A 27058-nucleotide genomic window follows, 5' to 3' on the forward strand; every position below is an offset into this window, starting at 1 on the left:
GGCCCAGCTACTCAGGAAGCTGAGGCAGGAGAATCGCTTGAACCCGCAAGGCAGAGGTTACAGTGAACTGAGATTGGGCCACTGCACTCCAGCCTGGTGACAGAGCGAGACTCCATCTCAAAAAAAAAAAAAAAAAGTTGTCCTCCAAATGGCTTAGGTGACACTTTTATTTCCATGTGCCTGACTTAATTATCTGTCCCTCAATTGGTTTGGAACTCAGGAGATGAAAAAGGGGGTGTTATCAATGGTCACACTAAAATTTAGATAATAGGCACTGATCTTTTCTCTATCTGAAGCTGCATATTTAGGATTTCTGCTGTAATCCACTCCAATTCATCTCACTCTGAAAACTAACTTCTTTTTAACTGGATCTTCTGGTTCCTCACTAACTTGGGCTTTTATATGGAACTAGTGTTATTATTAGTGACAGAGATTACTAATTTTCACCAAAATTTAATCTCCTCTGCTTCTTTATTAAGAGAACACCCAAATAGGTGGTGAATGGTGGCCCAGAATAAAGAATACATTTCTCATCTAGGTGTGGACATGTGTTAAAATTCTCACCAATGAGATTTAAGTGGAAGAGCTGTGCACACTTCCCAGAAGATATCCTAAAAAGGGAAGGAGTTTGATCTTTTCTTCCAATTTCTTCCATTCTATTGATTGAAATGCAATTCTAATGTCTGGAGCGAGGGCAGCCATTTTGGACCATGACAGAGAAACAGAGGTGTGCTAGATCTGGCTTATATGAGCTTGGGAGAGCAGATGATTAAACATTGAGGAATTCTGCAAGCTGGTTGTTAAACCATTGTAGCTTGAAATTGGCCATGGTGGGAGTATTTCCACCATGAAAATCAGGCAAATGCTACAAATTATGCCATTTTCCCCCCCAGAGGGCCAGTTTACCAGCCTGCGACTGGGTAAAAGCCACATGTTGAAAATGGTAGAGCAATAAGACAGAAGGGGTCTGAGTCCCTGATGATCATGAAATGGCTAGCCAGATGAGCCTTCAGGACTGCCTATATTTACATCAGAGAAAAATAAGTTACCATCTTGCTTAGGCATTGTAATTTTTGCTTTCTGCCCCTCAAAGCCAAATTTAATTGTAACTAAAGCCCATTTGAGGCACTAGGCCCAACTCAACACTATCTAAATACAGTTTTGGGGTCATTAAGGAAACTGAGAAAGAAAATATAACTTGTTCAGCTTAGGTCAGGTATTCACATTCCTGGTGCAATCTGTGGGGCCAGAGATGTGGGTTCCATGGTACACACCTAGCCACCTAAACCTATCCTTTCAGCAGGGGCTATTGATTCACATCTGAAAAAGAAGATATGGGCTGATAGACATCCCAAACTAGTTTACTATGCTACCATTTGCTATATTAGCATATAATAAATGGTAGTACAGCACATCGTTGTCATTGTTGTTTTCTTTTTTTGAGATGGAGTTTCAGTCTATTGCCTAGGCTGGAGTGCAGTGGCATGATCTTAGCTCACTGCAACCTCTGCCTCCTGGGTTCAAGTAATTCTCCTGCCTCAGCCTCCCAAGTAGTTGGGATTACAAGCATCCACCACCACGCCTGGCTAATTTTGTATTTTTAGTAGTGAAGGGGTTTTACCATGTCAGTCAGGCTGCTCTCAAACTCCTGACCTCAGGTGATCCACCCACCTCGGCCTCCCAAAGTGTTGGGGTTACAGGTGTGAGCCACTGCGCCCAGCCCTTATCTAATATCATTCTATGTAGCATCTATTCCTTTTAAGCTTATTTGTCTGAATTATTTTCCAAAAATGTTTTATAAATCATTGTTCATATGCATTTTTCCTTTCATTGGTAGATATAGATTTTCTGTTTTGCCATGAGTGCAGTAGACTGTTTTATACTCTGTCAGCCACTGAGCACTCTACTATGCTGCCCTAAGTATCTTGTTTATTCCAGTATGGTCTCTCTCCATTTATTTTATGTTCTAGCCAACCATTTTGACCAATAATGCCTGACAAAACTGTTCAAATGATGGTGCTGTACCACAGGAGACCTTCAAATACCTGTTTTACTGCAGCTCTAAGTACCTTCAAGGAAACAGAGAATAAAGAGAATAAGAGACTTGTAAAGATCTTTTGACTATACGAAAACCCTCATAAACATGACTGCATCCAAGGAGGATTGACCAAAAATCATGTGAATATGGAGCTATAGGACGACATAGATGGAGGCATATCAGACTTTAGGGGATCTGAAAAGACTGGAAAAACTACTGTCACTGTAGTTTTTCAGTGGAAAGGCATTTCCAGTGGACTTTGCTATCATGACCTTTTATATTGCTGATTCAGTTAGGGCACCCCAATTCAAAGACACAATGCAGCATGTAAATGCATCTACTTAAAGTGTATGTGTGTGTGTGTGTGTGTGTGTGTGTGTGTGTGTGTGTGTGTGTGTGTGTATTTCATATCTGAATTGATATTATATTGCTAATCATATTATAAACTCCTGGTGGACCTGGAGAGAAAAAATAAATAAATAAGACAGGATCCTTAACCTATTACAGAAAAGAGAAAAATAAAGAGAACACTACAAAATGGTGTGAAAAGTGCTATGAGAGAGGTAAGCAACGTGTAGTGTTCATAAAAGTTGACTTTCCAATATTCATTCCACTCCCTGCGGACAGTATAATCCACCAATGAGAATCCTATTCCCTTGACTGGCCATTGGCTTCAAAAGTGAACATATGATTCAGTCTTGGTTAATGAGACACAGAAGGAAGTGGGAAGTTTTCTGAGAAAGTTTTCTCACTCCTAAACTGGAGACATAAAGAAGAGATGCTCCCTCTCTTTCGCTGAACTTTGGAGTGGGCTTACTATAAGGCAGTAGATATTATTTTAGCACATGGAAAAGAAGGCCTGGAAAGAAAAAGGTATCTGAGTAGACAGACTTTAAATGCCATAGGAGGAAGTACCATTCTTCTCATGGCCAGGAGCTAAACCTTTTAAAAAAGGCCTAGACCAATTACTTTGCATGATAACTAATTGCAGAAATCTTATCCCTATTCCTTACTATGTTATAGGGCTAGGACCAAGTGTAAAGCAAAACCACAAGCACAGCACCTTGGCCAGCCCAACTGGCAGTGTTAAGATCAAAAATTCCATTTTTTTTTTCCTAAGAGTGAGATTGAGTATTTGATGGTGAGAAAAACAAAATGATTAGTATGAAAATTTTGGGGGGAAATGGAACTATTCAATGATCCCTTCCCCAAATTCTTCATCCGTCAAACTACTCATACAGGAGTTTTGCTTTCTTCAGGTGCACCTCAAGAAACACATGTTTCTCAGGAGACTGATATACTAACCAATCTCTATAATTATTTCTAAATCCTGTCCTTTCAGAGTCTTGTTCTCTCCACTGGTCATGTGAGGTTCTTAATCCTCACTTTGCATCAAAATCATTAGATTAAAAAACAAAACAAAACAAAACCCTAAAACTACAATACCAAGAACAATTGAAGCTAATATGAAGCCAAGACTGAGAAACACTAACTCATTGTACTGGGGACTAAACATCAAGAATCGCAGAGGAAGGCCTGGAGCTAAGAATAAAACTCTACCTCACGTTCTATGTCTAAAGAAGTTACAGATGTATGGGACAGACATCCTCATGCAGGCATTAAAGGCAGTTAATACTTCAGCAGACTCACTTCTCTGATTAAAGACTTGGAGAAAACAGAGGTCACGCTGGGTGGGTGGCTCACACCTGTAATCCCATCACTGCCAAGGCAGGCGGATCACCTGAGGTCAGGAGTTCAACACCAGCCTGGCCAACAAGATGAAACCCTATCTCTACTTTAAAAAAAAGAAAAGAAAAATTAGCTGGGTGTGATGCCACACACCTGAAATCCCAGCTACTTGGGGGGCTGAGGCAGGAGAATTGCTTGAACTTGGGAGGCGGAGGTTTCAGTGAGCCAAGTTATGCCACTGCACCCCAGCCTGGGTGACAAAGTGAAACCCTGTCTCAAAAAAAAAAAAGAAAGAAAGAAAGAAAAGAAAGAAAACAGGGGTTATCTCTTAGGGAGATGCATTTTGTGGAGGGCTGACTATCCCTTCCACCATCTCTTACTGTTTGGGGAGTTAGAATGTGACCTAGGCATTCCACATGAACTAAAATGTGCTTCCCACCAACACCACTAAGCTGGGGATTGGAGATTGGCTCTGATCTGAAAGTTGTCACATCATTGACCTGACACAGCACCTGATCCTTGGGAGAGCAGAGGGAGGAGAGAGGTGCTGAAGCTGAGAAGTGCCAGAGGACAGACTGCATTGCCACTCTTTGGAGTAGCAAGAATAAAGGGTTTCGCATGGCACTGATAAATACCAAGGAAGGTGGCGGGAGGCTTAAGTCTTCGTGCTTTCCCATGAAACTGGGTACTATGGTATGAAGAAGATTGTTACACCTGAGAGAGGTCTCCACCTGAAGCCTGGTCAGAAATATCCTATAGAGTCCACTGAAGAACCAGCATATGTGTCTCAAGAGAGACCACATTCAGACTCCTTCCTATGGATTCAACCAAAAGACAGTCTGTTGGCCAAATAAACAGCCACAACCTACGGAGAGAAGTGAGGACAAGACAACCTCACTAGAGGCAGGCAGGTAAGAGGAGTCAATGTCAGCCTCAGTTTCTACATCAGAGGGTAACTGTCAGGCCTCTGAGCCCAAGCCAACCCATCGCATCCCCTGTGACTTGCACATATACGCCCAGATGGCCTGAAGTAACTGAAGAATCACAAAAGAAGTGAATATGCCCTGCCCCACCTTAACTGATGACATTCCACCACAAAAGAAGTGTAAATGGCCGGTCCTTGCCTTAACTGATGACATTACCTTGTGAAAGTCCTTTTCCTGGCTCATCCTGGCTCAAAAAGCACCCCCACTGAGCATCTTGCGACCCCCACTCCTGCCCGCCAGAGAACAAACCCCCTTTGACTGTAATTTTCCTTTACCTACCCAAATCCTATAAAACGGCCCCACCCTTATCTCCCTTCACTGATTCTCTTTTTGGACTCAGCCTGCCTGCACCCAGGTGAAATAAAGAGCCATGTTGCTCACACAAAGCCTGTTTGGTGGTCTCTTCACACCGACGCACATGAAATTTGGTGCCGTGACTCAGATCGGGGGACCTCCCTTGGGAGATCAATCCGCTGTACTCCTGTTCTTTGCTCCTTGAGAAAGATCCACCTATGACCTCAGGTCCTCAGACCGACCAGCCCAAGGAACATCTCACCAATTTTAAATCGGGTAAGCAGCCTCTTCTTACTCTCTTCTCCAACCTCTCTCACTGTCCCTCAACCACTTTCTCCTTTCCACTCTTCAATCTCTCCCTTCTCTTAATTTCAATTCCTTTCATTTTCTGGGAGAGACAAAGGAGACACGTTTTATCCGTGGACCCAAAACTCCGGCGCCAGTCACGGACTGGGAAGGCAGCCTTCCCTTGGTGTTTAATCATTGCAGGGACGCCTCTCTGATTATACACCCACGTTTCAAGGGTGTCAGACCACGCAGGGACGCCTGCCTTTGTCCTTCACCCTTAGCAGCAAGTCCCGCTTTTCTGGGGAAGGGGCAAGTACCCCAACTCCTTCTCTCCTTGTCTCTACCCCTTCTCTTCTTTTCTGGGAGAGGGGCAGGTACCCCTCAACCCCTTCTCCTTCACCCTTAGCGGCAAGTCCCGCTTTTCTACGGGGCAAGAATCCCCAATTCCTTATTTCCATGCCCCAACCTCTTATCTCTGCACCCCAACCCCTTATTTCTGCACCCCAACCTCTTATATCTCTGTGCCCCAATCCCTTATTTCTGCACCCCAACCTCATATCTCTGCACCCCAACCCCTTTTCCCACTTTTCTGGAAGGTAAGAACCCCCAAACCCCTTCCCTCCGTTTCTCTACTCTCTCTTTTCTCTAGGCTTGCTTCCTTCACTATGGGCAACCTTCCACCCTCCATTCCTCCTTCTACTCCCTTGGCCTGTGTTCTCAAAAACTTAAAACCTCTTCAACTCACACCTGACCTAAAACCTAAATGCCTTATTTTCTTCTGCAATGCCGCTTGACCCCAATACAAACTCGACAGTAGTTCCAAATAGCCAGAAAATGGCACTTTGAATTTTTCCATCCTGCAAAATCTAAATAATTCTTGTAAAATAGGCAAACGGTCTGAGGTGCCTGACATCCAGGCATTCTTTTACACATCAGTCCCTTCCTAGTCTCTGTGCCCAGTGCAACTCGTCCCAAATCATCCTTCTTTCCCTCCTGCCTGTCCCCTCAGTACCAACCCCAAGCGTTGCTGAGTCTTTCTAATCCTCCTTTTCTACAGACCCATCTGACCTCTCCCTTCCTCCCCAGGCTGCTCCTCGCCAGGCCGAGCTAGGTCCCAATTCTTCCTCAGCCTCTGCTCCTCCACCCTATAATCTTTTTATCACCTCCCCTCCTCACACCTGGTCCGGCTTATAGTTTCGTTCCGTGACTAGCCCTCCCCCACCTGCCCAGCAATTTACTCTTAAAAAGGTGGCTGGAGCCAAAGGCATAGTCAAGGTTAATGCTCCTTTTTCTTTATCCCAAATCAGAAGCGTTTTGGCTCTTTTTCATCAAATATAAAAATCCAGCCCAGTTCATGGGCAGCAACCCTGAGACGCTTTACAGCCCCAGACCCTAAAAGGTCAAAAGGCCGTCTTATTGTCAATATACATTTTATTACCCAATCTGCTCCCGACATTAAATAAAACTCCAAAAATTGGAATCTGGCCCTCAAACCCCACAACAGAACTTAATTAACCTCACCTTCAAGGTGTACAATAACAGAAAAAAGTTGCAATTCCTTGCCTCCACTGTGAGACAAACCCCAGCCACATCTCCAGCACACAAGAACTTCCAAACACCTGAACCGCAGCAGCCAGGTGTTCCTCCAGAACCTCCTCCCCCAGGAGCTTGCTACACGTGCCGGAAATCTGGCCACTGGGCCAAGGAATGCCTGCAGCCCGGGATTCCTCCTAAGCCGTGTCCCATCTGTGTGGGACCCCACTGAAAATTGGACTGTTCAACTCACCTGGCAGCCACTCCCAAAGCCCCTGGAACTCTGGCCCAACGCTCTCTGACTGACTCCTTCCCAGATCTTCTCGGCTTAGCGGCTGAAGACTGACACTGCCGGATCACCTCGGAAGCCCCCTAGACCATCATGGACGCCGAGCTTCAGGTAACTCTCACAGTGGAAGGTAAGTCCGTCCCCTTCTTAATCAATAGGGAGGCTACCCACTCCACATTACCTTCTTTTCAAGGGCCTGTTTCCCTTGCTTCCATAACTGTTGTGGGTATTGACAGCCAGGCTTCTAAACCTCTTAAAACTCCCCAACTCTGGTGCCAACTTAGACAATACTCTTTTAAGCACTCCTTTTTTAGTTATCCCCACCTGCCCTGTTCCCTTATTAGGCCGAGACACTTTAACTAAATTATCTGCTTCCCTGACTATTCCTGGACTACAGCTATATCTCATTGCCGCCCTTCTGCCCAATCCAAAGCCTCCTTTGTGTCCTCCTCTTGTATCCCCCCACCTTAACCCACAAGTATAAGATACCTCTACTCCCTCCTTGGCGACCGATCATGCACCCCTTACCATCTCATTAAAACCTAATCACCCTTACCCCACTCAACACCAATATCCCATCCCACAGCATGCTTTGAAAAGATTAAAGCCTGTTATCACTCACCTGCTACAGCACGGCCTTTTAAAACCTATAAACTCTCCTTACAATTCCCCCATTTTACCTGTCCTAAAACCAGACAAGCCTTCCAAGTTAGCTCAGGATCTGCGCCTTATCGACCAAATTGTTTTGCCTATCCACCCTGTGGTGCCCAACCCATACACTCTTTTGTCCTCAATACCTTCCTCCACAACTCACTATTCTGTGCTTGATCTTAAAGATGCTTTTTTCACTATTCCCCTGCACCCCTCGTCCCAGCCTCTCTTTGCTTTCACTTAGACTGACCCTGAGACCCATTAGACTCAGCAAATTACCTAGGCTGTACTGCCGCAAGGCTTCATAGACAGCCCCCATTACTTCAGTCAAGCCCAAATTTTATCCTCATCTGTTACCTATCTCGGCATAATTCTCATAAAAACATACATGCTTTCCCTGCTGATCATGTCCGATTAATCTCCCAAACCTCAATCCCTTACAAAACAGCAACTCCTTTCCTTCCTAGGCATAGTTAGTGTGGTCAGAATTCTTACACAAGAGCCAGGACCGCACCCTGTAGCCTTTCTGTGCAAACAACTTGACCTTACTGTTTTAGCCTAGCACTCATGTCTGCGTGCAGCAGCTACCACTGCTTTAAAAATTTTAGAGGCCCTCAAAATCACAAACTATGCTCAACTCACTCTTTACAGTTCTCATAACTTCCAAAATCTATTTTCTTCCTCATACCTGACGCATATACTTTCTGCTTCCCGGCTCCTTCAGCTGTACTCACTCTTTGTTGAGTTTCCCACAATTACCATTGTTCCTGGCCCGGACTTCAATCCAGCCTCCCACATTATTCCTGATACCACACCTGACCCCCATGACTGTATCTCTCTGATCCACCTGACATTCACCCCATTTCCCCAAATTTCCTTCTTTCCTGTTCCTCACCCTGATCACGCTTGATTTATTGATGGCGGTTCCACCAGGCCTAATCGCCACACACCAGCAAAGGCAGGTTATTCTATAGTACAAGCCACTAGCCCGCCTCTTAGAACCTCTCATTTCCTTTCCATCGTGGAAATCTATCCTCAAGGAAATAACTTCTCAGTGTTCCATCTTCTATTCTACTACTCCTCTGGGATTATTCACGCCCCCTACCTTCCCTACACATCAAGCTCGAGGATTTGCCCCCACCCAGGACTGGCAAATTAGCTTTACTCAACATGCCCGAGTCAGGAAATTAAAATACCTCTTAGTCTAAATAGACACTTTCACTGAATAAGTAAAGGCCTTTCATACAGGGTCTGAGAAGGCCACCGCAGTCATTTCTTCCCTTCTGTCAGACATAATTCCTCAGTTTAGCCTTCCCACCTCAATACAGTCTGATAACAGACGAGCCTTTATTAGTCAAATCAGCCAAGCAGTTTTTCAGGCTCTTAGTATTCACTGAAACCTTTATATCCCTTATGGTCCTCCATCTTCAAGAAAAGTAGAATGGACTAAAGGTCTTTTAAAAACACACCTCACCAAGCTCAGCCACCAACTTAAAAAAGACTGGACAATACTTCTACCACTTTCCCTTCTCAGAATTCAGGCCTGTCCTCAGAATGCTACAGGGTACAGCCCATTTAAGCTCCTGTATAGATGCTCCTTTTTATTAGGCCCCAGTCTCATTCCAGACAACAGACCAACTTAGACTGTGCCCCGCCCCCCCCCAAAAAAAAACTTGTCATCCTACTATTTTCTGTCTAGTCATACTCCTATTCACCATTCTGAACTACTCATACATGCCCTGCTCTTGTTTACACTGCCGGTTTACACTGTTTTTCCAAGCCATCACAGCTGATATCTCCTGGTGCTATCCCCAAACTGCCACTCTTAACTCTTGAAGTAAATAAATAATCTTTGCTGGCAGGACTCTGCCGAATCTCCTTAAGCACTCTCTAATCAGATATCCTGAGTTGTCCCAATTCTTAGACCTTTTATACCTGTTTTTCTCCTTCTGTTATTCCATTTAGTTTTTCAATTCATACAAAACCGTATCCAGGCCATCACCAATCATTCTATACGACAAATGTTTCTTCTAACATCCCCACAATATCACCCCTTACCACAAGACCTCCCTTCAGCTTAATCTCTCCCACTCTAGGTTCCCACGCCGCCCCTAATCCCGCTTGAAGCAGCGCTGAGAAACATCGCCCATTCTCTCTCCATACCACCCCCCAAAAGTTTTCGCCGCCCCAACACTTCAACACTATTTTGTTTTATTTTTCTTATTAATATAAGAAGGCAGGAATGTCAGGCCTCTGAGCCCAAGCCAAGCCATCGCATCCCCTGTGACTTGCACGTATACGCCCAGATGGCCTGAAATAACTGAAGAATCACAAAAGAAGTGAATATGCCCTGCCCCACCTTAACTGATGACATTCCACCACAAAAGAAGTGTAAATGGCCGGTCCTTGCCTTAACTGATGACATTACCTTGTGAAAGTCCTTTTCCTGGCTCATCCTGGCTCAAAAAGCACCCCCACTGAGCACCTTGCGACCCCCACTCCTGCCCGCCAGAGAACAAACCCCCTTTGACTGTAATTTTCCTTTACCTACCCAAATCCTATAAAACGGCCCCACCCTTATCTCCCTTCACTGACTCTCTTTTCGGACTCAGCCTGCCTGCACCCAGGTGAAATAAACAGCCATGTTGCTCACACAAAGCCTGTTTGGTGGTCTCTTCACACGGACACGCATGAAAGTAACCACAGGAAAGGGGACTAGGATGTGAAAGAATAGACCAAGACCCCCCACTCCACCCTCCAGTATTTAAGATTACTAGACTATTCTGGGGGTAGATAGAGGAGAAAGAAGACTTTTGGATAGAAAATGATTTTTACACTTTTTAAAAGAACACTTCTGAGTCTTAAGATTCCAATGAGAGCATTTTTAATAAACTGGATGTGACATAAGTTATAGAACTAGGCTGAGACACCATTAAGGGAGCTTACTGCCCAGCAGGCAGAGTTTTAAAAAAAACACAGTTAGTAGCAATTATGGGAAAAATAAGATCCTTTTGTGTTTATACCTTAACATAAGGAAAGATTCTCACTAAATTGGTTAAGCATGGTAATGTTTGCACTCTTTGAATGTAAGTTGAAGTGTTGCCTCTCCTAAGTAACACATTTATGTTTCCAAGGTGGTTTTCATGGAGACAAAAGGTGGAGAAGGACAGTCCCGTGAAGTGGATGCAACAGTTGAAGGTAACAGTAAGTCTTCATCAAGAGCCAGACATGCCTTAGAATAACAGGTAAATAAATAATTTAAAGCAGAGGCCTCTCATTACCAGACTAAGTCCCAACCAACCAAATCATCTTCCTCATTTGAAATTCCTCTAAGTGTCACAAAGGTTGTTGTGTTTGTGATGTGGGTTTTGACTGTCCTCATGTTACCAGAAAGAGGTCCTGATCCAGACCCCAAAAGAGGGTTATTGGATCTTGCACAAAAAAGAATTTGAGGCGAATCCATAAAGTGAAAGCAAGTTTACTAGGAAAGTAATGGCTTTTTACTAGGAAAGTAATACAGGAATGGCTACTCCATAGTCAGAGCTGCCCCACAGGTTGCTGGTTGCCCACTTTTCCGGTTATTTCTTGATGATATGCTAAACAAGAAGTGGATTATTCATGCCTCCCCTTTTTAGACCATATAGGGTAAAGTGTGATGGCACTGATGGGAGTGTAGCAGTGAGGACAACCTGAGGTCACTCTCATCGTCATCTTGGTTTTGGTTTGGTGGGTTTTAGTCGGCTTCTTTACTGCAACCTGTTTTTACCAGCAAGGCCTTTATGACCTGTATCTTGTGCCCACCTCTTATCTGATCCTGTGACTTAGAATTCCTAACTGTCTGGGAATGCAGCCCAGTAGGCCTCAGCCTTATTTTACCTAGCCCCCCCATTTAAGACGAAGTTGCTCTGAGTTGAATAAAAAGCATTCAAAAATAACCAAATAAAAAACTTTATGTGGATAGAGAATCAGAAAGACTGTGGTGACAGTTCTGAGTCAAACCTTCACGATTTCCCCTCCTTCCTGTAATGAAATTAGACTCAGGAGAAGTTCCAGGATTTAACAAACCCAGGAATAATAGTCTACATTTCAACACTGAAAAGTTTTCTTACTCTGTTTACCAACTATGGGGACTATGACTAAAATATTATGAGAAATAACTCATGTCTCAAGACTCAGAGCCAAATTAATTTCACATATCTATAATTTGCTACACAAACAACCACTTTCCCAGAGGCCTCTGTTCCTATAGGTCAACAAACACGAGATGACTCCACGATGAGACTCCCAGGCTTCAGACAAGTCCATAGCCTTAGGTAATTATGATCTGAGGTGGTTTTGAAGCTCCTCTTACACACACAGACCCCCCAAACCCATCCCTCCCACCCCCTGCACCCCGCCCCATCTCTGGGCCAAAACTTTCTTTCCAGTGGGTCTGAAAAGTACTGCCTGAAATTCTCAGCATTCCTGTCATTCCCTAAAGGCTGAGGCAGCTCTCTAAACATTCTTTCAGGCACCTGAGGAATTGGGCCACCAGCTCTTCTGTGGGGAGCCAACAGGAAATTAAGTATAAAGGGCAGCAAAAGTATTTGGGGAGATGACAATGAGGCATAAAGGAAACAAAGAAGGGTGGGGGTGCAAGAAAAGAAGCCTGGTCTACCTACACACTTTGCCCTGCAGACAGTTCTACCTCTCAGCACGTGTGATGACTTACCTAGGAATGGAATGTGGACCTGGGAGGGGAAGCTGGTACAAAGCTGTGGAGGCTGGAAAGGAACCCAGGGCCCTATTACAAATCGTGAATAGTGACTTTTAGCTAGAATCACTTGCCAGAAGCTTGGGAAAAAAATGTTTTCACTGAGGGCCTAATTGGATGTCAGAAGGCTTCTACAGAAAGCCTGGCTCCTAGAGCTTCCTAGCTGCTGAGATGGGCTATCCTGGCAAGAATCCTCTCCCTCCTCCTTTCTTTCCCTCTTGCTCCCTTCCTCTTTCCCCTCCTTTTCTCTTTTCCGTACACAATCTGACAGTTTATTTGGGACAATTCTTTGGAGAACTGGGATACACCTGCAGTATATTCATTTTTAAGCCACGGACAAACCACTAGAGGGCGATGCCATCACTAATTGCTGAAACTTTCCTGCTTTCCTCTGGCTTCAGCATTCAGCAGGCCTATCCACACATCCTGTGACAGGATGTTTCTGAACTTTTCCTTCAATTCTCATTGTAAATAAACAACCTCAGGGTGAATACATCCAGATGCACATCATAGCGACATGCAGCATGAATTGCACAGGCCAAAGTTTCTGGTCTATCCGGAACAGTCTTGCCTAATATGCACCACAGTTCAGAAACCAGAGGTTAAACTTGCTTTTTTGTCCTGAATTTCTGCCTGAATTTTGGAGTTTCTCTCAAATGCTATCTCTAAGGGCAAAAGGAGCCCTTCAAAGAAATGAAAAGTTAAATAATCCAGCACAGCCCATTTGTACAGGATTTCTGTTTTGTTTCCATATTCAAGTTACAAATATTTGGTTTGCTTAAATGCAGGGTTTGCCCAAATGGTCAAAAGCTATTAGTAGATTAGTCATGTATGCAAATATGGGGAGCAGGGGCACATGTTTCTCACTGCTTGAGAAACTATGTGTATAAACGGGGTCCCAGTAAATTTGGTCCTAGCCGGGGCGTACCAAAGAAAGCAAAGCTAGCAGGGGTAGTGGCTAATGTCTGTAATCCCAACACTTTGGGAAGTTAAGGCAGGAGGATCACTTGAGGCTGGGAGTTCAAGGTTTGCCTGGGCAACATAGCAAGACCCCATCTCTAAAAAAATAAAAATAGTCAGGTATGTACTATTATACAGGTGTGCACCTGTAGTCCCAGCTCCTCAGGAGGCTGGGGTGGGAGGATCCTTTGAGCCCAGGAGTTTGAGGCTGCAGTAGCTGTGATCACACCACTGCACTCTAGCCTGGGTGACAAAGCAAGACTCTGTCTGAAAAAAAAAGGGAAGAGAAAGAAAGAGAAAGAAAGAAGGAAAGAAAGAAAGAAAAAGAAAGAGAGATAGAGAAAAGAAAAGAAAAAAGAAAAGAAGGCTGCTAGAAATCTTAAACTCGGCTGGGTGCAGTGGCTCATGCCTGTAATCCCAGCGCTTTGGGAGGCCGAGACGGGTGGATCACCTGAGGTCAGGGGTTGGAGAGCAGCCTGGCCAACATGGTGAAACTAGTCTCTACTAAAAATACAAAAATTAGCCAGGCATGGTGGCGGGAGCCTGTAATCCCAGCTGAGGCAGGAGAGGAGGCTGAGTCAGGAGAATCGCTTGAACCCGGGAGGTGGAGGTTGCAGTGAGCTGAGATCGTGCCACTGCACTCCAGCCTGGGAGACAGAGTGAGACTCCTTCTCAAAAAAAAGAAAAAAAAAAAAAAAGAAATCTTAGAACTCCTTGAACTTTTTGGGCAGAATCTCCCTTCCTATGAGTTCAACTAGTGTTCCTAGGCATACACTCTGCCTCCTGTATAGGGGCAGACTAGCATCAGACTTCTCTGAGATTAGTATTTCAAGAATTTATGCAAACTAACCTATTGAAGTTAGACTGAAGATCTGGGTAAAAATGTAAATCAGAAAGTATTCAATAAATCAGGTAAAGCACATAACAGGCAATTCATGTACTGGAATACTGCTGCCTCCAGCACTGGTGGTGTACTTCTTCAAGTACAGTACTTCTTCAAATATTTGCTGATGTCAAGCTTATCCTCCATTTATCAGCAGAGGCAGATAAGGTGAGGAAAATATTTGTAGGCAGAGAGATTTCTGGAATTTTCCTACAGTGCTGAAATACCATCCAGAGTTCAAGTGGGCCATATTTGGACAATGATTACTATGTTATTTTTTCTATCGTATTTTCACTGCTATATAATAACATTAACACTCTTTACACAAGGTCAGTACTATTTACCTAAGACTTTCCCAAATCTTTCCCATTCTCTCCCCTCAAAAGTTCATGAACACATTCTATGTTTCTGAAGGAAAAAATATAATAGAGGAAAAGTTTATTGAGATTAGTCAAGTGGGGATTGTAATTCACCAAATCTGCATTTACTAGAAGGAAGATAGAGCAGAAAACTAGTCCCAGGGTTTAAAGACTACAATTCATAGAAGACTCCTATTGTTGGGCCAACACTGTATTTCACAGCAGGTGAAGAGAGAAAAAGTACAGGAAAACAAACAAGGATGGAAGTATGGTACAGGAGGGTGCACAGTGAATAGAAGAAAATGCTATGGAAGACTACTCCTCACCGAGCAAAACCCGACTAGGTGGAACGTGGACTGAAGGTGGAGATGAATTCAAGAGTTTTACGGAGGGCACCTGTCACCTAATCACAGCGCCAACGACGCTACCAAGAAAGCATCATGGCCTTTTCTTTTACAGGCACTTTGTTTACAGGACAAATCAAGGAAATCAAGGAAAAGGCATCTTTTCTCTTCCAGATCACTTTTAGAATCCAAGATTTGGTACACTGGGACAAATAAAAACACATAGCTATGAAAGGGTCGATGAGATCCCATTTGTAACTTGGCTAAATAGAGTTGTTTCAGTACCTGACAACTTGAGTTCAATCTGTATTATTCTGAATGTATAATTGATGTGGCCATCAGTTTCCAGTAAAGGAACTTTTGTTTTGCTTTTTTCCCCCCACTTTCCCTCAGAAGGAATGGCTTTCTCATTAGGAAATGTTCGCATGCCCTCAGAAAAGGTGTTTGGAATAGAAAGACTCCCCGGAATCAGATTAAAATGCCAGCAGAGTTGAGTATGTTCTTCCCCATTTTGAGCTAGTTAAATGAGAACTCACGCCATTCTCCACACAGGGAACTTCTTAGGTAAAACTATTAAAGCCATGGAACCATTTACTTAGTGTGGTTATTAAAATCCTATGGCACTCTGGTGAACAGTGCTGTGGACTGGCAGCCAGAATATCTTTTCCAATTCTAGCCCCTATATTTCCTGGATTTATAGAAGCAAAGCAACTAGGAAAGCTGTAGGTCTTCTCACCCATTTTGTAGATATTTGTTGAGTACCCAATGTTTTAGGCACTGGAGTACAATAATAAACCAGATCTAGCACAGTCCTTGCCTTCACAGTTCAGAGTCATGAAGGAAACAAACCAGTAAAAAGGCAATTGTAACGTCATACCCATTAGCATGGCCATGATAAAAGAGAGAGAGAGAGGAGGAAAAAAAGGAAAGAAAGAAGTGTTGGTGAGGACACTAAACAATCAGAACCCTCATACAGTGTTGGTGTCAATGTAAAATGATGCGGCTACTCTAGAAAAGTCCTCCAAAAGCTCAATACAGAATCAGAATAACCATACAATGTAGCAGTGTCACTGCTAGGTACATACTCAAGACCATTGAAAACATGGCCATACAAAAACTTGTACACAAATGTTAATAGAAGCATTATTTATTAATACTCAAAAAGTGGAAACAATCCAAATGTCCATCAGCTGACGAATGGATATACAAAATGTGGTACATACATACAATGGAATATTTCAACCATAAAATGAAATGAAGTACTGATACATAATACAACATGGATGAACCTTAGAAACATATTTAGTGCAAGAAGACAGACACAAAGGGACAAATATGGTATGATTCTATTCACATAAAATGTCCAGACTAGGGAAATAAATAGAGATAAAAAGTAGATTAATAATTGTCAGGGGATTGGGGGAAGGGGAAACACGGAGTGGCTGTCAATGGGTGTGTATGTGGGTTCTTTTAGGAGTGATGAAAATGTTCTCAAATTATATAGTGATTGCATAACCTTGTAAATATATTAAAAACCACTGAATTGTACAATTTAAAAGAGTGACTTTTATGTTATGTAAATTATATCAATAAGACAAGGTAATTATAATACAATAAGATGATGGCCATATTAGAGCGTGCTAGTCTACATGTGTGGGGGTAGTGTTGGAGAAGAGGTTCAGAAAAGCTTTCTGAAAAAAATGACTTTTAAGCAGTGATCACAGAAGACAAGTAGGAGTAAGAAGGAAAAGGAGGAAGAATGGATCAATGTTAAAGGAACAGCAGAATATGCCCACGGCAGAGGGGAGAGAGCACATGGTACATTTGGAGGAATAGTGGTCCTGCTGGGCTGAAACATGGTGTTCACAGTGGAGAGAAGTAAGGCTAGGGATAGAAGGAGCAAACCAACCATGCTAAAGAATTTCTACTTTATCCTAATTATAACAGGAAACCCTTGAAAGAGCTAAAGCACAGGAATGACAAGATCTGGTCTGTTCTTCGGAAAGGTTGTTCTAAGTGCAACGCGAAGAACAGACTGGAGGTAAAGCAAGCATAGGGGCCAAGAGATTGGTTAGGAGGTTATTGCACTAACGCAAGTCTGAACTGACCAAATAGGGAAAATTGGAAGGTACCGGGGAAGTTCTTCCAAGCTCCCTGTAATGCTCTGCCAACTATAACAGTACTAGGCTCTGCCAGGAAGCAAGATGTGGTTTTAGTAAGGAGGTGGTGCCAATGCTAAGGCTGCTAGCGAGTCTTCCAGCAGACTCTACTCCTGCTTTTGGCCCAAACTTTATACTCAATCTCTAGACTTGGGCTCCCTTTTCCCTCCACAATGAACATAAAGATCCTCACCATGTGCAACAGAGAGATAGTCTACTGTAAGAGTATGGATTTGAGTCAGAAGCACCTAAGTTCAAATTCCTGCCCTGCCATTTCCAAGCTTATGTGATAAGATATACTTAACCTCTGATCTCAGTTTTTTGAATGTGAAATTAGGAAGATAGTAACATATCTCAGTTTTGTGCTAAGGATTATATGTGATTACAGATGTAAAAAAGCCTTGCACCAGGCCTGCCCTTTAGTAGGTGCTCAATAAATGTAGTCTCTGTACTCTTTGCATCACAATCCTATAGTTACAATTGTGTTCCTAATTGGTGGGTTCTTGGTCTCGCTGACTTCAAGAATGAAGCCGCGGACCCTCGTGGTAAGTGTTACAGTTCTTAAAGATGGCGTGTCCGGAGTTTGTTCCTTCTGATGTTCGGACATGTCTGGAGTTTCTTCCTTCTGGTGGGTTCGTGGTCTCGCTGGCTTCAGGAGTGAAGCTGCAGACCTTCACGGTGAGTGTTACAGCTCTTAAGGCGGTCCGTCTAGAGTTGTTCGTTCCTCTCGTTTGGAGTTGTTCATTCCTCCCGGTGCGTTCATCGTCTTGCTGGCCTCCTGCAGACCTTCACGGTGAGTGTTAGAGCTCATAACGGCAGTGCAGACCCAAAGAGTGAGCAGCAACAAGATTTATTGCCAAGAGCAAAAGAACAAAACTTCCACAGTGTGGAAAGGGTCCGGACTGAGTTGCCCCTGCTGGCTGGGGCAGCCAGCTTTTATTGCCTTATTTGGCCCCACCCACATCCTGCTGATTGGTCCATTTTACAGAGAGCTGATTGGTCTGTTTTGACAGGGTGCTGATTGGTGCGTTTACAATCCCTGAGCCAGACAGAGTGCTGATTGGTGTATTTACAATCCTCTAGCTAGATGTAAAAGTTCTCCAAGTTCCCACTAGATTAGCTAGACACAGATCACTGATTGGTGCATTTACAAACCTTGAGCTAGACACAGGGTGCTGACTGGTGCGTTTACAATCCCTGAGCTAGACACAGAGTGCTGACTGGTGCATTTACAATACTCTAGCTCGACATATAAGTTCTCCAAGTCCCCACCAGATTAGCTAGATACAGAGTGCTGATTGGTGCATCCACAAACCTTGAGCTAGACACAGGGTGCTGATTGGTGTATTTACAAACCTTGAGCCAGACACAAAGTGCTGATTGGTGCATTTACAATCCTCAAGCTAGACCTAAAAGTTCTCCAAGTCCCCACCAGATTAGCTAGGTACAGAGTGCTGATTGGTGCATCCATGAACCCCGAGCTAGACACAGAGTGCTGATTGGTGCATATACAATCCTCCAGCTAGACATAAAAGTTCTCCAAGTCCCCATCCGACTCAGGAGCCCAGCTGGCTTCGCCTAGTGGATCCTGCACCAGGGCCACAGGTGGAGATGCCTGCCAGTCCCGCGCCACACACCTGCACTCCTCAGCCCTTGGGCAGTCAATGGGACGGGGCGCTGTGGAGCAGGGAGTGGCACCCATTGGGGAGGCTCAGGCCAGGGACTCGGGCATGGCAGGCTGCAGGTCCTGAGCCCTGCCCCACAGGGAGGCAGCTGAGGCCCAGCAAGAATTTGAGCATGGCACGGGCAGGCTGGCAGTGCTGGGGGAGCCGGTGACCCCTCTGCAGCTGCTGGCCTGGTTGCTAAGCCCCTCATTGCTCAGGGCCAGCGGTGCTGCCCGCCGCTCCCAGTGCGGGGCCCACTGAGCCTGCACCCACCCAGAACTCACGTTGGCCTGTGAGCGCCACGTGCAGCCCCGGTTCCTGCCTGGGCCTCTCCCTCCACACCTCCCTGCAAGCAGAGGGAGCCGGCTCCGGCCTCAGCCAGCCCAGAGAGGGGCTTCCACAGTGCAGCGATGGGCTGAAGGGCTCCTCAAGTGTGGCCAGAGCGGACACCGAGGCTGAGGAGGTGCTGAGAGCAAGGGAGGGCTGCTAGCACGTTGTCACCTCTCACAATCATAATTCTTCAATGCAAGCATGACACCAAAGGGTGAGGCCTGCTACTGTCAAAATTTTAGTGAGCTAGGAGGACTATTCCATATTTTCCTAGAAATAGGTATTTGCTAGTTGACAAACATAAGTTATTTGTATCCATGGTTCCTTAAAATACCATTTCAAAGCCAAATGTATTTAGGGCTGGGCGCAGTGGCTCATGCCTGTAATCCCAGCACTTTGGGAGGCCAAGGCAGGTGGATCACCTGAGGTCAGGAGTTTGAGACCAGCCTGGTCAACAAGGTGAAACCCTGTCTCTACTAAAAATACAAAAATTAGCCAGGCATGGTGGCAGGTGACTGTAACCCCAACTACTCAGGAGGCTGAAGCAGGAAAACTGCTCAAACCCGGGAGGCGGGGATTGCAGTGAGCCAAGATCACGCCATTGTACTCCAGCCTGGGTGACAAGGGTGAAACGCTGTCTCAAAAACAAACAAACAAACAAAACCAAAAAGTTAGACTTATTTAAATTAATTCCTAAAAGGAAAGATCTGAGAGCTCCTCAGACAAGTCATCAAATCAGGCTTGTTTATGCTCAAGCAGGAAGGCCAAAGTTCCAGGTAAAGGCTCTCCTTTCTAGAATCAGCATAACTGCAAGGCAGCAGACCATATAAATAGTTTGATGCTCTGAACAAATGGAATGTTGTCTGGAATGATAATGTGGAAAGAGTTCATGTTAACACAGCAGGCCATTTAATGTAAAGAAACATGTTTTAAAAGCTACCTAGAGCTTTCTAGGTACAAGTGTTTTGTTCAGGTTTTTATGCAGACAGAAACAGTTTAAAAACAGGCAAGGATCGAAGGTATCAAAATGTGTTTTAAAACCTATCTGAAGGAGTTGATTACTATCAGCGCTAAAACCCAGTCTTTAGTCTCCTCCTTAACCAGGATGCAGTTCCTAGAGATAAAATATAATGTTAACACTGATCTAATATAGTAAACAATCGTCAGAACTTTGGAAAGATTTCTCTCTCTCTCTCTACACACACACACATTTTATATCTTTCATGTATCCCTCTCCCCCTCCTCCCATACTATGAAGTAATATTTAACCCCAAAGAAATAACCTTGTTAAGTTTGTTTCCTTCTTTGCTAATCACTGCAGTGGATTTCAGAAAGCACAAGGTGGCAGAAGCACACTAAAAATCCAACTGGAATAAAGGCTACAGCAATTTGAACATCATAAAAATGGCAGCAACTCTATTTTTAAAAATAAATGAGTACTTTTTCATCATAACAAACATGCTCAATAAAATTTTGAAAATATGACAGGTAGAAAAAGGAAAGGGGATTGTATTACTGAGACATATGGACAAATGTTTAATTCTTCCTACTACAATTATTAGTTGTGATTTTATCAGATATGCAACTTTATATCCTCCCTTTTAAACTCTAACAATGGGAGCACTTTCAAATCTGCTTTAGTCAAACATCTCTGTTTCAAAAAATATTTAAGGCATCTGCATGTGTCCATGTTTTTATAAACATTTTCAAAAGATCACTGATTAGAACATGGCTAATTTTATCTAGCCATTTTCCCATTAGCAATGATTGTTTTAAGTTAAACATTATCAATGACACCTGAGCCAGTAAATTTACATTTTAAGATCTCATTTCAAAAATCAAACAGGCTGGGGGCGGTGGCTCATGCCTATAATCCCAGTACTTTGGGAGGCCAAGGCAGGCGGTCACCAGAGGTCAGGAGTTCGACACCAGCCTGACCAACATGGAGAAACCCCGTCTCTACTAAAAATACAAAAATTAGCCAGGTGTAGTGGTGGGCACCTGTAATCCCAACTACTCAGGAGGCTGAGGCAGGAGAATCACTTGAATTCGGGAGGCGGAGGTTGCAATGAGCCGAGATCACGCCATTGCACTCCAGCCTGGGTGACAGCGAGACTCTGTCTCAAAAAACAAAAAACAAATAAAAACAGCCATCTGAGAAAATCAGACATGAACAAATGAAATAACATTTTATTCCAAAACAGAATCAAATGATGCTATCCTGTTTACTTTTTGCACTGGCCTGTGGGTACTTGGACCTTTCTTATTTTACAAACCTATATCTACAGTGTGTGTTTAGAAAATCATTTTATATGTCGAAAATATAACAAAATAATTTTAAAAATACTTAAGTATTGTGGTAGCAGTCAAAAGTTATTTATACTTTTAAAAGATTGCTACCAACTAGATTTGCCCCTGGAAAAATAACCAAAGCCATAATTCATTTGCTACTTTGGAATCAACCTGAATGCCAAAAACAACTGTATAAAATCATTTGGTCTAGTCATCTGCTTTAGACAGGTGAAAAGCCATTATTATTCCCCTCTATTATGGGCTCAGGAAAATAAAGCCAACATCAATGGAAGATGGTGCTCAGAACCCTGTCAAGTATGGGGAAAATTCTGTATCTCCGGATGTCTTTTGACCTTAATTCAGACCTTTAATCCACAGGTCAAAATATGTAAAATTAGAAATAATGTAATGACTTTTCCCCCTTTTAACTGAAACTCAGTTTTCTCTATTAAATGAGCAAAACAATGACTTCCATGAGAGAGGAAATTCAATTGTCAGGAACAAATGTTATTACATTCCAGCACCTTCTGAATGTTTAGTCTTGAGTCTTTCTTTTGTAAGCACTAACTAAGCAATCACAGGGAATTCTCTTCAAGAAGGATTCTCATTCATGATTTTCTCCAGGCCCCAGTGAGAACTCTAAATTAAAGGGCTCTCACTCTTTATGGCTTCACTTGCTTCTTCCTTCCCCAGTAGCTTTGAAGAAATTTCCCTTTTTATTCAAATGTGCTCACCCAGGTCAGAGAGGAGATTTCCTGAACTCTGAACACCAAGGTTAAATCTTCCATGGTCTAACACCTTGCAAGCTGCAAATAACTGAAGAGGGGAAAAAAGATCACCTTAAAGAAATTATTAGTATAGAACCTTTCTGCACTTTCTCAACATTTCTTCTACTTAGGCCTGCATGAGAAATTCAAGACCAAGTCTGGATAATTCAACTATAAACTCAGCATCAGAATGTTTTTTGCCTGCCTATTTGCTAAGGTTTCCAAAAACTGGGCTTATCCATTTCCAGAGCCCTGGAAAAAATTTGAAAACATGAACTATATTAATAATAATGTGCCTTCTCTATAGAGCATCCACATTTTAAAAGCCTAGAGATCCTGGCTTGGGAAAGCTAGAAAAGTAAATACCAACTATGATGACTGGAGAAACTAATTTAAATTCCTCTGCTGAATCTTGTCCCCAGGCTTCCAATAAAAATAAGTTAGGTTTTGGCCCTGAACTATTCCTTACAAAAATTGCTTATCATTATACAAGAATAGTTTCCCTATTTTCTGTTTATTTGTTTTTCCTCTAGTTCTATTCTTTCCCACATAGATTAAACCAAAATAAGATTAGCCAAACCTAATTTGATTCTAATCCAAGCCACACACCCTATGTATTCCATTACAAATCAAGTTTAATTTACTGACTTCCTTGGGTCCCAACTGAATGACCTACTGGAAGCTACGAAAGGGGTCACAGAGTAAGACTGCAGGCCAAAAAAAGAATGTGAAAAACACATGCAAGCCTGGAAACAAATTCACCCAAAGACATAACTTGCTTAAGATGTTTCTTGTGGAATTTGAATGCTAAAAGATCAAGTCTCCTAACAGGAAAAGCAGCCAACAGAGAAGCAGATGCATTCACATTCACTCATCATTCGTTCGCTCATTCATTCATTCAACAATTATACATAGACCTCTCATAGTCATGAGTTTTAACAACAGCAGAAACTTCAGGAGAGTATTTGCTTTCTGGTGCTCAGTTCTGCACTGAAGCCAGTCTCCCATTACCACAGGATTTTTTCTGTATGTTGTAAAATCTGTGAACATAAACTTTAGTTTTTATCTGCTTTTATTTTTTGGTAATTTGGAAGCTGAATTTAAAACATCCCCTTTAATTTTGGCAACGAGTAGCTTTTAGATTCTTTTAATCCAAGGGATTTTAGACCTTCTGAAGTCAAGGTTTACTTCTAAAGAATAAAGAATTTTGTTTGCTAACAATGTGAAAGAGCTAATATAATAGCTACATATGGTCTTATACCAGTGATAAGTCACTAATGTTGTTACAGCTTATGTGACAAACGTTCACAATGTTTTTGGTCCTCAAAATCACCCTGACAGCAGTAGTACTCCAGAGAGGTGTGAGGAGACGAGTGAAAAACCCAAAAAGAAGAAAAAGCAAAAGCCCCAGGAGGTTCCTCAGGAGAAAACAGAAGACCCATCTATCTCTTTCTCCAAACCCAAGAAAAAGAAATCTTTTTCCAAGGAGGAGTTGATGAGTAGTGATCTTGAAGAGACTGCTGGCAGCACCAGTCTTCTCAAGAGGAAGAAGTCTTCACCCAAGACGGAAACAGTTAATGACCCCGAAGAGGCAGGCAACAGAAGTGTCTCCAAGAAAAAGACGAAATTCTCCAAAGAGGAGCCTGTCAGCAGTGGACCTGAAGAGGCTGCTGGCAGCAAGAGCAGCTCCAAGAAGAAAATGTTCCATAAAGAAGCCCAGGAAGATTAGAATGCAAATGGACATTCTCTGGGAGGCGGGGCATACCATAGCCCAAGACGACATTTCCTACCATGTCCAGTTCCCCAATAAAAACAAATTCACACACACACACAAATCACCCTCATGAAATAAGAGAGGAATTATTATGACCACTTTGAAGATCAGGAAGTGGAGGCTCAGGAAAGGGAAATGATATGTCCAAAGTCCCTTTTTCTAAGTGGTGAATTCAAATCTTAAGACTATCTGATCACTGTTCTTTTCTACTTTTCCTCAATTAATATTTAGTTTAAAATTTAAGCTTTTGTGTATTTTGTTCTAGGGGTTGGGACTATAAAGCTGTACACATATATAAAATTCCTCCTTAGCCTAGGCAACATGGCAAAACCCAATCTCAACAAAAAAAATACAAAAATTAGCTGGGCATGGTGGTGTGCATCTGTAGTCCCAGTCACTTCGGAGGCTGAGGTGGGAGGATAGCTTAGGCCCCAGAGGCAGAGGTTGCAGTGAGCCAAGATGGCACCATTGCACTCCAGCCTGGGGCAACAGAGCCCGAAACTGTTTCAAAAAAAAAAAAAAAATTCCTCCTTATGATTCAAGAGATTCCTGCATAGTCCTCAATCTTTGGTTTTGCTTTAAGAACAGATCATCTGCCCCATTTGGCTTAAAAACAAAAATTAAACACATAATACAAACATGAGACTATAAATACATTAGACTTCAATAAATAGAACAAAAATGTTCACTGTTTAGTTACAGCATGTCATTTGATGAGCAGAAAATTAGAAAAATGATTTTAGTCCCCATTTCAGCATTACTTAACTAGAAAACCTTGGGTAAATCTCTCAAATTCTGTGTCTCAGTTTGTATACACTATTAAATGGGTATAAAAAATTGTCCTTCAAATGTTATAACCAGTACAAAATCATTAAATCTAAAATTGGTATATATTTCCTAGTACTACTGGTATAAGAATTCTGAAAAAAGAGAGGAAAAGTTCATTTCAGTTTTGTCTCACGCAATAGTTAACATACAAGGTACTTTTTTTAAAGCTTGTTTAGTATCTAGAATATTGTGTACACATTCATTAAATTCCTTAAATTCTTTTTACTGATATCCCTTTGGACCCTGAATCCAATATTATGTAGCCATTTTCCCTATTACACAAATAGACTGGTTTGCACAGGTTACACAGTATGTTAATGGCAGAATCAAAGGTCAAAATATCTGATCGATATCCTAACCATGCCAGGATCATCCACTGCTAACAAGACAGAACTGTGACAGTCTCTTTAACGTCAGCAGAATTCTCTAAGCTGAGCCTTATTTTAGCTATCAGTTTCCTTCAGTTCCCATGCTGAATTTTATCAGATCTGCTTCTTTCTCTTCCTCTATTCATGCCTAATAAGCAAAGAAATAAAAAAGAAAAGCCGTAAAAAGCAGAGCACAGCATCTGGATAATCCACAAACCAGAAAAACCTGACTGACAAGAGTTAACTAAATGGATTTTTTAGTGGATTTGTTTGTTTTTTTGAGACAGGGTCTCACTCTGTTGCCTAAGCTGAGGGTAGGCGCACAATCACGGATCACTGCAGCCTCAAATTCCTGGGCTCAGGCAATCCTCCCACCTCAGCTGATCCTCCTGCCTCAGCCTCTTGAGTAGCTGGGTCTACAGGCATGCACCACCACACCGGTCTGATGTTTTGTTTTGCTTTGTAGAGACAGTTCTTGCTATTTTGCCAAGGCTGGTCTCAAACTCCTGGCCTCAAGTGATCCTCCTGCCTGGCCCTCCCAAAGTGCTGGGATTACAGTAGTGAGCTACTGTGCCTGGCTGGATTTCTTGTCTACAGTTTAGAAACTCAATCTTCTTCAATCACATAATGAGTCTCAGGATATAACAGCAAGACACAACGTGAATTTGTGATTAAATTTTATTTTCATGAAATTTTTTGCATAGCCAGAATCACAAAACAAAAATGAGGAAATGCTAAAGTTGATTTACAAAAAGTGAAAGAAAAAACACACCCGTGGGAACCCCATCACCAAAACCGTAAAAAAAAAAAAAAAAAAAAATTGCAAAAATCTTTCAGAAAAGGCAGTCTAGTCACCCAAAGAAATTCATAAGTTGACTGGCTGGAGAAGATTTCTTGAAAATATATAATAGAAGTTACAAATTAAGAAGTAACATATGGAGTAGGTAGTCAAAGTGAGAGGCGACAGTGTGCTGGCAGCCCTTGCTCACTCTTGGTGCCTCCTTGGCCTCGGTGCCCACTCCGGCCGCGCTTGAGGAGCCCTTTAGCCTGCCGCTGTAATGTAGGAGCCCCTCTCTGGGCTGGCCAAGGCTGGAGCCGGCTCCCTCTGCTTGCAGGGAGCTGTGGAGGGAGCAGCGTGGGCGGGAACTCAGGCTGCGTGTGGCGTACGCGGGCCAGCGTGAGTTCTGGGTGGGTGCAGGCTTGGCAGCCCCGCACCTGGAGCAGCCGGCCAGTGCCACCGGTCCCAGGCAGTGAGGGGCTTAGCACCCGGGCCAGCAGCTGTGGAGAGTGTGCCAGGTCCCCCAGCACTGCTGGCCCGCCCAAGCTGTGCTCAAATTCTCGCCGGGCCTCAGCCGCCTCCCTGCGGGGCAGGGCTCAGGACCTGCAGCCCGTCATGCCCAAAGAATGCCCCCTGCTTTCCCCACCGTGGGCTCCTGCATGGCCCGAGCCTCCCCGATGGGTGCCGCCCCCTGCTCCGCAGCGCCTGGTCCCATCGACCACCCAAGGGCTGAGAATTGCAGGCACACGGCATGGGACTGGCAGGCAGCTCCACCCGTGGCCCTGGTGCGGGATCCACTAGGCGAAGCCAGCTGGGCTCGTGAATCAGGTGGGGACTTGGAGAACTTTTATGTCTAGCTGGAGGATTGAAAATGCACAAATCAGCACTCTGTGTCTAGCTCAGGGTTTGTAAATGCACCAATCAGCACTCTGTGTCTAGTTTAAGGTTTGTAAATGCACCAATCAGCACCCTGTGTCTAGCTCAAGGTTTGTAAACGCACCAATCAATGCTCTGTGTCTAGCTAATCTAGT

General features: G+C 43.4%; 1 pseudogene, besides 7 other annotated features; it reads left to right on the forward strand.

Moving 5' to 3' along the window:
* Positions 4372–4883: an enhancer, noted in NCBI's record as "OCT4-NANOG-H3K27ac hESC enhancer chr12:79933315-79933826 (GRCh37/hg19 assembly coordinates)". NCBI's record gives its function as "activates a minimal SCP1, AML or CMV promoter by ChIP-STARR-seq in naive H9 embryonic stem cells {active_cell/tissue: H9 hESC(naive)}" and the evidence as "EXISTENCE:reporter gene assay evidence [ECO:0000049][PMID:30033119]".
* Positions 4884–5397: an enhancer, noted in NCBI's record as "OCT4-NANOG-H3K27ac hESC enhancer chr12:79933827-79934340 (GRCh37/hg19 assembly coordinates)". NCBI's record gives its function as "activates a minimal SCP1, AML or CMV promoter by ChIP-STARR-seq in naive H9 embryonic stem cells {active_cell/tissue: H9 hESC(naive)}" and the evidence as "EXISTENCE:reporter gene assay evidence [ECO:0000049][PMID:30033119]".
* Positions 7448–7959: an enhancer, noted in NCBI's record as "H3K27ac hESC enhancer chr12:79936391-79936902 (GRCh37/hg19 assembly coordinates)". NCBI's record gives its function as "activates a minimal SCP1, AML or CMV promoter by ChIP-STARR-seq in naive H9 embryonic stem cells {active_cell/tissue: H9 hESC(naive)}" and the evidence as "EXISTENCE:reporter gene assay evidence [ECO:0000049][PMID:30033119]".
* Positions 10010–10523: an enhancer, noted in NCBI's record as "OCT4-NANOG-H3K27ac hESC enhancer chr12:79938953-79939466 (GRCh37/hg19 assembly coordinates)". NCBI's record gives its function as "activates a minimal SCP1, AML or CMV promoter by ChIP-STARR-seq in naive and primed H9 embryonic stem cells {active_cell/tissue: H9 hESC(naive and primed)}" and the evidence as "EXISTENCE:reporter gene assay evidence [ECO:0000049][PMID:30033119]".
* Positions 12115–12843: an enhancer, noted in NCBI's record as "OCT4-NANOG-H3K27ac hESC enhancer chr12:79941058-79941786 (GRCh37/hg19 assembly coordinates)". NCBI's record gives its function as "activates a minimal SCP1, AML or CMV promoter by ChIP-STARR-seq in primed H9 embryonic stem cells {active_cell/tissue: H9 hESC(primed)}" and the evidence as "EXISTENCE:reporter gene assay evidence [ECO:0000049][PMID:30033119]".
* Positions 12286–12580: a silencer, noted in NCBI's record as "tiled region #2515; K562 Repressive non-DNase unmatched - State 13:Ctcf". NCBI's record gives its function as "represses a minimal TATA promoter and a strong SV40 promoter by Sharpr-MPRA in K562 cells {active_cell/tissue: K562}" and the evidence as "EXISTENCE:reporter gene assay evidence [ECO:0000049][PMID:27701403]".
* Positions 12286–12580: an enhancer, noted in NCBI's record as "tiled region #2515; HepG2 Activating DNase matched - State 5:Enh". NCBI's record gives its function as "activates a minimal TATA promoter and a strong SV40 promoter by Sharpr-MPRA in HepG2 cells {active_cell/tissue: HepG2}" and the evidence as "EXISTENCE:reporter gene assay evidence [ECO:0000049][PMID:27701403]".
* Positions 23617–24102, forward strand: NOP56P3 (NOP56 ribonucleoprotein pseudogene 3; annotated as a pseudogene).

Source organism: Homo sapiens, chromosome 12 (assembly GCF_000001405.40).
Source record: "Homo sapiens chromosome 12, GRCh38.p14 Primary Assembly".
Taxonomy (NCBI): domain Eukaryota; kingdom Metazoa; phylum Chordata; class Mammalia; order Primates; family Hominidae; genus Homo; species Homo sapiens.